The sequence below is a fragment of the Homo sapiens genome, chromosome 10 (genome assembly GCF_000001405.40).
Source record: "Homo sapiens chromosome 10, GRCh38.p14 Primary Assembly".
Taxonomy (NCBI): Eukaryota; Metazoa; Chordata; class Mammalia; order Primates; family Hominidae; genus Homo; species Homo sapiens.
The window spans coordinates 115,030,925-115,043,961 of NC_000010.11; the positions used below are offsets into that span (position 1 = coordinate 115,030,925).

Consider the following 13,037-nt stretch of genomic DNA (forward strand, 5'->3'; position numbering starts at 1 on the left):
ACTTTAAGTCTTCCCTCCCTCCTTCTGACCTTCCCATTCCAGCCACACTGGCCTTTTGTCTGGTCCTAACAAACCATGCCTTTCCTGCCTCCAAGCCCTACACCTGCTATCCATCCCTCTGTCTGAGAGACACTCCCACCCCTTCACAAAGCCTGTTTCTCATCCTTCCAGTTCAGATGTCTTCTCAGCTTGCCTCAACTGACCTCTTTCAGCTATTCTCACTCTTTGTACTCTGTTCATTTCCTTCCTGGCAGTCACCATAATTTATCTTTATTTGAATCAATTTCTTAGTTGTATTATTTAGTTATTTGCACACTCTGTCTCTCTGTGCCTTTCTTATTCACTGCAGGCTTTCTTATGTAAGTAATTTATTTACTTAAATTTTTAAAAATAATTTCAACTTTTGGCCGGGCACAGTGGCTCACGCCTGTAATCCCAGCACTTTGGGAGGCCGAGGTGGGTAGATCAGCTGAGGTCAGGAGTTCGAGACCAGCCTGGCCAACATGGTGAAATCCCATCTCTATTTAAAATACAAAAACTAGCCGGGCGTGGTGGTATGCACCTGTAATCCCAGCTACTCGGGAGGTTGAGGGAGGAGAATCACTTGAACCGGGGAGGTGGAGGTTGCAGTGAGCTGAGATCACGCCATTGCACTCCAGCCTGGGGCACGAGAGTGAGACTTCATCTCAAAAAAACAAAAAACAAAAAACCCCTGCTTTTCAGAGGGGCTGAACTAATTTACATTCTCACCAATAGTGTATAAGCATTCCCCTTTCTCTACAGCCTCACTAGCATTTACTTTTTTAAAAAACTTTTTAATAATAGCCATTCTGACTGGTATGAGATGGTATCTCCTTGTGGTTTTCACTTGCAATTCTCTGATGATTAGTGATATTGAGCATTGTTTTATGTTTGTTGGCTGTTCGTATGTCTTCTTTTGAGAAGTGTCTTTTCATATATTCTGCCCATTTTTTGAATGGAGTTGTTTTGTGCTTGTTGAATTAAGTTCCTTATAGATTCTAGATATTAGACTTTTGTTGGATGCATAGTTTGTGAATATTTTCTCCCATCCTATAGTTCTGTTTACTCTGTTGATAGTTCCTGTTTTGTTATGTTTTGTTTTTTTGCTGTACAGAAGCTGTTTAATCTAATTGGTCCCACTTGTCAATTTTTGTTTTTGTTGCAATGGCTTTTGAATTTTAATAATAAATTCTTTCCTAAGGCTGATGCCCAGAACAGCATTTTCTAGGTTTTCTTCTAGGATTCTTATAGTTCAAAGTCTTATATTTAAGCTTTTAATCCACCTCAAGTTAATTTTTATATATAGTGAAATGCAGGGGTCCTGTTTCATTCTTTTGCATGTGGCCAGCCAGCAATCCCAGAACCATTTATTGAATAAGGAATCTTTTCCTCATTGCTTATTTTGTCAACTTTGTCAAAGATCGGATGACTGTAGGAGTGTGGCTTTTTCTGGGTTATCTACTCTGTTACATTGGTCTATGTGTCTGTTTTTGTATCAGTATCATGCTGTTTTTGTTACTATGGTCTCATAACATAGTTTAAAGTTGGATAATGTTATGCCTCTGCTTTGCTGTTTTTGCTTAAGATTGCTTTGGCTATTGAGGCTCTTTTTTCACTTCATATGAATTTTAGAATAGTTTTTTCTAATTCTTTGAAAAATGACCTTGGCAGTTTGATAGGAATAGCATTGAATCTATAGATTGCTTTGGGCAGTATGCTATTTTAATGATATTGATTCTTCCTATCCATGAGCATGGAATATTTTTCCATTTGTTTGTGTCATCTACTATTTCCTTTAGCAATGTTTTTTAGTTTTCCTTGTAGAGATCCTCCTAGGTATTTCATTTTTTATGTGACTATTTTAAATGGGATTGCATTCTTCATGTGGCTCTCAGCTTGAATGTTATTGGTGTATAGAAATGCTACAGAGTTTTGTACACTGATTCTGTATCCTGAAACCTTACTGAAGTCATTTATCAGTTCTAGGAGCCTTTGGCAAAGTCTGTAGTGTTTTCTAGGTATAGAATCATCATTAGCAAAGAAAGATAGTTTGACTTCTTCTTTTCCTATTTGAATGCCTTTTATTTCTTTCCCTTGTCTGATTGCTCTTCCAGTACTACGTTGAATAGGAGTGCTGAGAGTGAGCATCCTTGTCTTGTTCCACCTCTCAAGGGAAATGGTTCCAGCTTTTGCCCATTCAATATGATGTTGGCCATGGGTTTGTCACAGATGGCTCTTATTATTTTGAGGTGTATTCCTTTGATGCCTAGTTTGTCAAAGGCCTTTATCATGAAGGGATGTTGGATTTTATTGAAAGCTTTTTCTGGGTCTTATTTGGTGAATTGCATTTATTGAATTGTGCATGTTGAGCCAAACTTCCATCCCAGGGATTAAACCTACTTAATCATGGTGTTAACTTTTTGATGTGCTGCTGGATTTGGTTTGCTAATTTTTTTTTTTTTTTAAGATGGAGTCTCGCTCTGTCGCGCAGGCTGGAGTGCAGTGGTGTGATCTTGGCTCACTGCAAGCTCCACCTCCCGAGTTCATGCCATTCTCCTGCCTCAGCCTCCCGAGTAGCTGGGACTACAGGCACCCGCTACCATACCCAGCTAATTTTTGTATTTTTTAGTAGAGACAGGATTTCACCATGTTAGCCAGGATGGTCTTGATCTCCTGACCTCGTGATCTGCCTGCCTCAGCCTCCCAAAGTGGCTAGTATTTTTTTAATTACTATTTTTTCTCACCCTTGCTGCCATCTTATGATTTTCTAGTATTTTGTTGAAGATTTTTGCATCTATTTTCATCAGGGATATTGGCCTGTAATTTTCTTTTTTCATTTCATCTTTACCACATTTTTGTATCAGGTTCATACTGGCTTCATAGAATGAGTTCAGGAATGGTCCCTCCTCCTCGAATTTTCTCTGTAGAATTAGTACCAGCTCTTTGTGTGTCTGGGAGAAGTTGTATGCCAATAATTTAAATGCAGTTAATATTTACTGGACAATTTCCTCCAGATAATTGTATATGATTTTTGGTCCACCCTGAGTTGATACATGTATTTTAATTGTATCATGGTATGAAAAGAGCAAGAGTATTTGGTCACCTAGTCTTGCCTATAGATGTGCCTAATGATTCAAAGTAGATATTTTGGGAGCCTAACAGGTGCCGTGACTAGGCAGTTTTGTTTTTTTTTTTTTTTTTTGAGACAGAGTCTCGTTATGCTGCCCAGGCTGGAGTGCAGTGGCATGATCTCGGCTCACTGCAACATCCGCCTCCTGGGTTCAAGCAATTCTACTGCCTCAGCCTCCCCAGTAGCTGGGACTACAGGCTTACGCCACCACGCCTGGCTAATTTTTGTATTTTTAGTAGAGATGGGGTTTCACCATATTGGCCAGGCTGGTGTTGAACTCCTGGCCTCATGATCCACCCGCCTCGGCCTCCCAATGTGCTGGGCTTACAGGCGTGAGCCACCGCACCCGGAGATTAGGCAATTTTATATTCCCAAATATCCAACTCTTCTGACCCGCTTTCTCAGCCTGGGTGTATCAGGCACAAGGCCTGTTCAGATTATGTGGTCTCTGAAGATATGGCTCTCCAGGGTTGACAATGTGGATAAGGATTCACCTGGTTTAGGATTTACACATTCGCCTTGAATGTCTGTTGCACCAAGTAGACAGTCCATCCCAACTTGGCCATTTGGTCAGAGCTGTAAGGAGACAAGGAGGTGGGCAGCCGCTGCTGTGAACTGCTTGGACAAAGACTGCCAAATAGCTATCAGACAGTGTTAACAACAGCTGATTTAGGTTTGAAGGGGGCAGTCTCTTGGGCCACTTACTATGCTGCATCATCCTCTTTGGAAAATGCTCTTCAGGTAACTGCCTAACAGACTGAGAAAATAAAATGCTCACAGAGAAAAAAGACCCGGAAAGTCTGACTTCTCAGAGCTCAGTGTTTAGGTGCAGAACTGGATTGTGAAAGGATTTTTAAATTTTTTATATTCATTGCAGGGAACATTCATTTATTCCATCCTTCTCCACTCCCACCTGTCTGTCGTTGTCTTTGTCTCTGTCTCCCCACCTCTCTCTCTAGACACACACACACACACACACACACACACACACACACACACACACACACACACACACACACACACACACACACCCCTATTCATTGCCAACAGTAATAGAGTTGCTTCTTTACTTCTTGGAGAGAAAAGCCTCAATCTGAGGAAGCTGTGCTGACTAGCCTTGCTCTTAATCATGGAGACAATGCTTTATGCCTTTATCTTTGCACAGCTGAAAGCCATGGCAGAAGCAGTCCTCTAAACGAAATAAAATAGAAAGGTTCCTGCTAAGCCCTGGCAAATGCAGCCTTCTATCCCTCCCCCAACACTCACAGCTTCTGAGCAAGATGTAGCTGCCTTCCAGGAGGCTGGGTGATGGGCAATAATGAGCAGAGCCACGTGAAGGAAAGATGGGTGAAGAAATGTGTGTGGAGGTCATGCTGGCTGCACTGACCATGAAACAAAGGATCTACCCCTCTAGTAACTGCCCTACTCCTTTGGTAACTGTTCTGAAATTATAACTTGCCAGAAGTTCAGAAGGACCTAGTGCAGGTATTAGAGGAAATTCGTAAGATTGAGCCATTTATTCCTGCACAGATACATAATAATGGACACGGGCCATGGTGGCCAGCATTCTTGCTCTTGACAATGGTGAAGGGAAGGGTTGTAGGTCATGGCTATGCTCTCAGAATTATAATGGAAAGAAACAGCTCCTGAGTGTTTACTATGAGCCAAGGGCTGTGCTAAACACTTTACCATATGATGACATCTTTTTCTCACAGGTATCAAAAAACAATAGGACATACCGGATAGCTACAATCTTTGGGCCCCTGCAAACACAATAATGTGTATTCTCTTCTTCAAATCCTACATATTGCTACAAACTGTATCCCTGAGGCATATTCATTGTAAAATAAAAACATATAAAGTACTACTTTTGTTTTTTGAGATGGAGTCTCGCTCTGTCACCCAGACTGGAGTGCAATAGCATGATCGTGGCTCACTGCAACCCCCTGCTCCTGGGCTCAAGTGATTCTCCTGACTCAGCCTCTCAAGTAGCTGGGATTACAGGCGCACGCCCCCATGCCTGGCTAATTTTTGTACTTTTAATAGAGACCAGGTTTCACCATGTTGGCCAGGCTGGTCTCAAACTCCTGACCTCAAGTGATCCACCTGCCTCGGCCTTCCAAAGTGCTGGCATTACAGCTGTGAGCCACTGCACCCGGCCCATATAAAGTACTACTAATGTAACAGGGTGCTAGTCCAGACAGTGACCACACGTGGTGTTCATTGAAGGCTGGACTAACAACTCCAGCCTCTCCGCCATCACAGAGTGATGACTGCCTTCCCTGAAGCAAAGCTTCTGGTTCAAGGAAAGGCCAGTAAGTGACTGCTCTTTGTTGTATACATGTTAGATGATCAGGCCTCAAGAAAAGTATAAAGAGATCTTTGTGCTCTCTGGGACTCAAAAAGCTGCACTCTTTGGGGGAAGGATAGCCAGGTAAAAGTGGCCCAGGTAAAGAGGGCCTGGTACACCTGGTTCTGCAAGATGGTAGACACAAAAATGAGAGCCACATTTGGAGCTTATGTGCCCCTAACTCTGTACATAACCTGCAAGATCTAATTACTAACAACTGGAATCTTGGAAACACCTGTAGTACATCCTTGGCTAAGGTTAGCCCCAACAGAGAGGGCTCTCCTCTTACAGAGAACCATTACATTTGTGCCTTCATCCTAGAGTAGAAAAGGCATGATCAGACTACTAAAAAGACATCAGGAAAGGGCCTGTGACATCTGAGGGAAGTGGTTGCCCTCTCTGGGATGTTGGTTCGGGAAGAGGGGCATGGAGGAGTGCCTGCTTTAGATGGTCATTCAGGAACCCAGGCTGATAGTGAGAGGTGAAGCCAGCTGGGCTTCTGGGCTAGGGGGGACTTGGAGAACTTTTGTGTCTAGCTAAAGGATTGTAAATGCACCAATCAGCACTCTGTAAAATGGACCAATCAGCACTCTGTAAAATGGACCAATCAGCAGGATGTGGGCAGGGCCAAATAAGGGAATAAAAGCTGGCCACCAGAGCCAGCAGTGGCAAACTGCTCAGGTCCCCTTCCACGCTGTGGAAGCTTTGTTCTTTTGCTCTTCACAATAAATCTTGCTGCTGCTCACTCTTTGGGTCTGCACTATCTTTATGAGCTGTAACACTCACCGTGAGGGTCTGTGGCTTCATTCCTGAAGTCAGTGAGACCACAAACCCACTGGGAGGAACAAACAACTCTGGACACGCCAACTTTAAGAGCTGTAACATTCACTGCGAAGGTCTGCGGCTTCACCTCTGAAGTCAGCGAGACTATGAACCCACTGGAAGGAAGAAACTCCAGACACATCTGAACATCTGAAGGAAGAAACTCCAGACACACCATCTTTAAGAGCTGTAACACTCACTGCAAGGGTCTGCGGCTTCATTCTTGAAGTCAGCAAGACCAAGAACCCACTGGAAGGAAACAATTCCGGACACATTTTGGTGACCCAGATGGGACTATCACCAAGTGGTGAGTACCATCAACCCCTTTCACTTGTTATTCTGTCCTATTTTTCCTTAGAATTCGGGGGCTAAATATTGGGCACCTGTCAGCCAGTTAAAAGCGACTAGCATGGCTGCCAGATTTAAGAGACTAAAGACACGGGTGTCAGACTTTCTGGGAAAGGGCTCTCTAATAACCCCCAACTCTTTGGAGTTGGGAGCGTTGGTTTGCCTGGAACCAGCTTCCACATTTCCTGTACTTCTGGGCTGAGACGAGGGTCAACAGAGAGGAAAGCCATTCAGCTCTGGGGTCCCGACAGCAAGTTGGTTGACCCTGTGGCCATGAGCAGAACTCTCGAAGTCATGTTGCCCAAGCGAGACTCACCCATCTATCCTATCTATCCTGACTCTTGCTTCCTGGGTCCTAATGCCTGGAAGACAAAACTTCCTCTTGTCTCTGTTCTCCAAGGCTAGTCCCACTTCTAAAAACCACTCCCTGTCTCTGGTGCTTTTCTAGTTTCTCCTATAAGAATGATTTCTAGTATAAACTCCAGGACTCTATTCTCTTCTTTAGGCACCCGGGCTCACCAATCAGAAAGCCATAATTTTTGCCCAAAGCCCCATCTTAGGGGGGACTATCTGGAATTTTAGGATCCCTCCTCAGACAAGCAGGCCTAACAAAAGCTATTCCTGAAGCTAGGATATGGGGAGCCTCAGAAATGATATCCTTCCTATTCAAGTGAGGACAAAAGGCATCACTCTTCCAATTCTGGAGATCCCTTCCCTCCCTCAGGGTATGGCCCTCCACTTCACTTTTGGGGCATAACGTCTTTATAGGACACGGGTAAAGTCCCAATACTAACAGGAGAATGTTTAGGACTCTAACAGGTTTTCAAGAATGTGTCGGTAAGGGCCACTAAATCCGATTTTTCTCGGTCCTCTTTGTGGTCTAGGAGGACAGGTAAGGGTGCAGGTTTTCAAGAATGTGTTGGTAAGGGCCACTAAATCTGACATTCCTTGGTCCTCCTTGTGGTCTAGGAGGAAAACTAGTGTTTCTGCTGCTGCATCAGTGAGCGCAACTATTCCAATCAACAGGGTCCAGGGACCATTGTGGGTTCTTGGGCAAGAGGTGTTTCTGCTGCTGCATTGGTGGGCTCAACTATTCCAATCAGCAGGGTCCAGTGACCTTTGCGGGTTCTTGGGTCGGGGGGTGGGGGGAACAAACAGACCAAAACTGGGGGCAGTTTTGTCTTTCAGATGGGAAACACTCAGGCACCAACAGGCTCACCCTTGAAATGTATCCTAAGCCATTGGGACTAATTTGACCCGCAAACCCTGAAAAAGAGGTGGCTCATTTTATTCTGCACTATGGCCTGGTCCCAATATTCTCTCTCTGATGGGGAAAAATGGCCACCTGAAGGAAGTATAAATTACAATACTATCCTGCAGCTTGACCTTTTCTGTAAGAGGGAAGGCAAATGGAGTGAAATACCTTATGTCCAAACTTTCTTTTCATTAAAGGAAAATCCACAACTATGCAAAACTTACAATTCACATCCCACAAGAGGACCTCTCAGCTTACCCCCATATCCTAGCCTCCCTATAGCTCCCCTTCCTATTAATGATAAGCCTCCTCTAATCTCCCCCACCCAGAAGGAAACAAGCAAAGAAATCTCCAAAGGACCACAAAAACCCCTGGGCTATCGGTTATGTCCCCTTCAAGCTGTAGCGGGGGAGGGGAATTTGGCCCAACCCAGGTACATGTCCCCTTCTCCCTCTCTGATTTAAAGCAGATCAAGGCAGACCAGGGGAAGCTTTCAGATGATCCTGATAGGTATACAGATGTCCTACAGGGTCTAGGGCAAACCTTCAATCTCACTTGGAGAGATGTCATGCTATTGTTAGATCAAACCCTGGCCTTTAATTTAAAGAATGTGGCTTTAGCCACAGCCCGAGAGTTTGGAGATACCTGGTATCTTAGTCAAGTAAATGATAGAATGACAGCTGGGGAAAGGGACAAAGTCTCTCCCGGTCAGCAAGCCATCCCTAGTGTGGATCCCCACTGGGACCTAGACTCAGATCATTGGGACTGGAGTCGCAAACATCTGTTGACCTGTGTTCTAGAAAGACTAAGGAGAATTAGGAAAGAGCCTATGAATTATTCAATGATGTCCACCATAACTCAGGAAAAGGAAGAAAGTCTTGCCTTCCTTGAGTGGCTACAGGAGGCCTTAAGAAAATATACTCCCCTGTCACCCAACTCACTCAAGGGTTAATTGATTCTAAAAGATATGTTTATTACTCAATCAGCTGCAGATATCAGGAGAAAGCTCCAAAAGCAAGCCCTTGGCCCTGAACAAAATCTGGAGGCATTATTAAACCTGGCAACCTTGGTGTTCTATAATAGGGGCCAAGAGGAGCAGGCCAAAATGGAAAAGCGAGATAAGAGAAAGGCCACAGCCTTAGTCATGGCCCTCAGACAAACAAACCTTGGTGGTTCAGAGAGGACAGAAAATGGAGCAGGCCAATCACCCAGTAGGGCTTGTTGTCAGTGTGGTTTGCAAGGACAGTTTAAAAAAGATTGTCCTATGAGAAACAAGCTGCCCCCTCACCCATGTCCACTATGCTGAAGCAATCACTGGAAGCCACACTGCCCCAAAGGACAAAGATTATCTGGGCCAGAAGCCCCCAAGCAGATGATCCAACCACAGGACTGAGGGTGCTCAGGGTTAGCGCCAGCTCATGTCATCACCCTCACTGAGCCCTGGGTACATTTAACCATTGAGGGCCAGGAAATTGACTTCCTACTGGACACTGGTGCGGCTTTCTCAGTGTTAACCTCCTGTCCTGGACAGCTGTCCTCAAGGTCTGTTACCATCCGAGGAATCCTGGGACAGCCTATATCCAGGTATTTCTCCCACCTCCTCAGTTGTAACTGGGAGACTTTGCTACAGATAGTAAGTATGCTTACCTAATCCTACATGCCCATGCTGCGATATGGAAAGAAAGGGAATTCCTAACTTCTGGGTGAACCCCCATTAAATATCACAAGGAAACTATGGAGTTATTGCACACAGTGCAAAAACCCAAGGAGGTGGCGGTCTTACATTGCCGAAGCCATCAAAAGGGGAAGGAGAGGGGAGAACTGCAGCATAAGTGGCTGGCAGAGGCAGGGAAAGACAAGCAGAAAGGAAAGAGAGAAAGAGCAGAAAGTGAGAGAGAAAGAGAGATAGGAAGTGATAGCAAAGAGGGAGTCAGAAAGAAAAGAGAGGAGAGAGAGAGGGGGAAAGACAGAGAGAGACAGAGGAAGAGACAGAGAGACAGAAAGAGAGAAGCAAAGAGAGGAAGAGACAAAGAAGGAGTCAAAGAGAGGGAAAGAGAAGTAGTAAAGAAAAAACAGTGTACCCTATTCCTTTAAAAGCCAGGTTAAATTTAAAACCTATAATTGATAATTGAAGGCCTTTTCTGTAACCCTATAATACTCCAATACCACCTTGTTGTCAGTGTAAACAAGGGTATAGCCCAAAAGCACTGAGGCCACTGACAACCCGTAGCCTTCTTATCAAAAATCCTTAACACAGCAGGTTTCCTAACAGGGAATCTAAATCTTAAGGTCGGACCAGACATAGGAGGAACTGCCTTCAGGACAGGATGATAGATGGTTCCTCCCAGGTGATTAAGGAAAAAGACACAATGGGTATTCAGTAAGTGATAAGGAAACTCTTATAGAAGCAGAGTTAGGAAAATTGCCTAATAAGTGGTCTGCTCAAACGTTGAAGCTGTTTGCTGTTTGCACTCAGCTAAACCTTAAAGTACTTACAGAATCAGGAAGGAGCCATCTATACCAATTCTAAGTTAATATGGACTGAACGAGGTTTTATTAATAGCAAAGAAAATTAAAATCTCAAACTTACAAGGTTTTCAACTAAAGTAAAGTTTGCTAAAAGTTAACAGCGTAACATGTATTATCCTACTACCACACACTCTCTCAAAGGATTTCTCAGACAGTTTGCAAAAAAGAGACGAAATCTGTCCTTACTCTACAATCCCAAATAGACTCTTTGGCAGCAGTGACTCTCCAAAACCGCTGAGGCCTAGACCTCCTCACTGCTGAGAAAGGAAGACTCTGCACCTTCTTAGGGGTAGAGTGTTGTTTTTATACTAACCAGTCAGGGATAGTATGAGATACCACCCAGTGTTTACAGGAAAAGGCTTCTGAAATCAGACAATGCCTTTCAAACTCTTATACCAACCTCTGGAGTTGGGCGACATGGCTTCTCCCCTTTCTAGGTCCTGTGACAGCCATCTTGCTAATAGTCGCATTTGGGCCCTGTATTTTTAACCTCTTGGTCAAATTTGTTTCCTCTAGGATCGAGGCCATCAAGCTACAGATGATCTTACAAATGTAACCCCAAATGAGCTCAACTAACAACTTCTGCTGAGGACCCCTGGACCGACCCGCTGGCCCTTTCAATGGCCTAAAGAGCTCCCCTCTGGAGGACACTACCACTGCAGGGCCCCTTCTTCACCCCTATCCAGCAGGAAGTAGCTACAGCGGTCATCGCCAAATCCCAACAGCAGCTGGGGTGTCCTGTTTGGAGGGGGGATTGAGAGGTGAAGCCAGCTGGGCTTCTGGGTCAGGTGGGGACTTGGAGAACTTTTGTGTCTAGCTAAAGGATTGTAAATGCACCAATCAGCACTCTGTGTCTAGCTAAAGGATTGTAAATGCACCAATCAGCACTCTGTAAAATGGACCAATCAGCAGGATGTGGGCGGGGTCAAATAAGGGAGTAAAAACTGGCCACCCGAGCCAGCAGTGGCAACCCACTCGGGTCCCCTTCCACACTGTGGAAGCTTTGTTCTTTTGCTCTTCACAATAAATCTTGCTGCTGCTCATTCTTTGTGTCCACACTACCTTTATGAGCTGTAACACTCACTGCGAGGGTCTGTGGCTTCATTCCTGAAGTCAACAGACCACGAACCCACTGGAAGGAACAAAGAACTCCCGATGTGCTGCCTTTAAGAGCTGTAACACTCACTGCGAAGCTCTGCAGCTTCACTCCTGAAGTCAGTGAGACCACAAACCCACCAGAAGGAAGAAACTCTGGACACACCTGAATATCTGAAGGAACAAACTCCAGACACACCATCTTTCAGAGCTGTAACACTCACCGCAAGGGTCTGTGGCTTCATTCTTGAAGTCAGCAAGACCAAGAACCCACCGGAAGGAACAAATTCCAGACACAGTAGGAAATCTGTATTTTTGATCTGTGGCTTTCAGGGTTACTCCAGTCATTGAAGTCTCCATTGCAGCCTTAAGGAAACAGAGAATGGTTTGGAGGAGCACATGTGGGAATTGTTATGGACCAGGCTTGAGATGCACATAGGGCATTTCTGATCAAACCTAGCTGGAAGCAGGGCCAGGAAATATAATCTAAGGAAGACAGTTTTTGTAGACAGTAGTAGTCTTTGCATCTGAGACATGTAGATTATCAAGCAATTAATTAGAAAAAATATAGCCAGGTGCGATGGCTCATGCCTGTAATCCCAGCACTTTGGGAGGCCAAGGGGTGTGGATCACGAGGTCAGGCGTTCGAGACCAGCCTGGCCAACATGGTGAAACCCCGTCTCTACTAAAAATACAAAAATTAGCCTGGTGTGGTGGCACGCATCTGTAATCCCAGTACTCAGGAGGCTGAGGCAGGGGAATCTCTTGAACTTGGGAGGCAGAGGTTGCAGTGAGCCAAGATCACACCACAGCACTCCATCCTGGGTGACAGAGCGAGACTCTGTCTCAAAAAAAAAAAAAAAAAAAGGAAAGGAAAATATAATCAAGAATATTGACAGGTAACATTTATTCAACACTTACTATGCACCAGGCAATACACTAAGTGTTTTACATGGATTAACTCATTTAATCTTAACAATAGCCCTATGAAGTCAGTGCTGTTATTATCTCCACTTTATAGATAAGGAAACTGAAGTACAGAAAGGTCAAGTAGAGAAATGGCCATGCTTGCATTCTCAGTTTTTGAAGCAACTGTTACAGGAATCTGGTGTGAGAAATGCTCTAACAAGATGTGAGTCAGGGGTTGGGAGGTACTGAGTCTGAGTTGGGCAGTTGGGGATGGAAGGATGGATGAAGAACAGCTTGACAGAGAAGCTGACACTTGGCAACTCTGTGGGACCTTGAAGGGTTAGAGGGACTTCACCAAAGAAACTGGTGGTCAGGGAAACGGGAGGGTCACGGCAAGGAGGGAAAGGAAACTGTACCACAGCAGAGAGTCTGAAGCTACTACAGTGTAGTTCAGCGTATAAAGAATAATTATTTTAAGGTAAACTTATAACCTCATGCAAATATAAAATGAACACGTGTCAAAGATCTTATTTAATTTATTAATTAATGAGGGAACCTGTAAGATGTTACAGCCAGTT

At 44.4% G+C, this 13,037-nt stretch overlaps 1 long non-coding RNA gene across 2 annotated transcripts in view; it reads left to right on the top strand.

The window, feature by feature from the left end:
* The window catches only part of LOC107984272 (uncharacterized), a 39,616-nt gene that overhangs the window by 7,905 nt on the left and 18,674 nt on the right, over nucleotides 1-13,037 (top strand). The window lies entirely within an intron of this gene.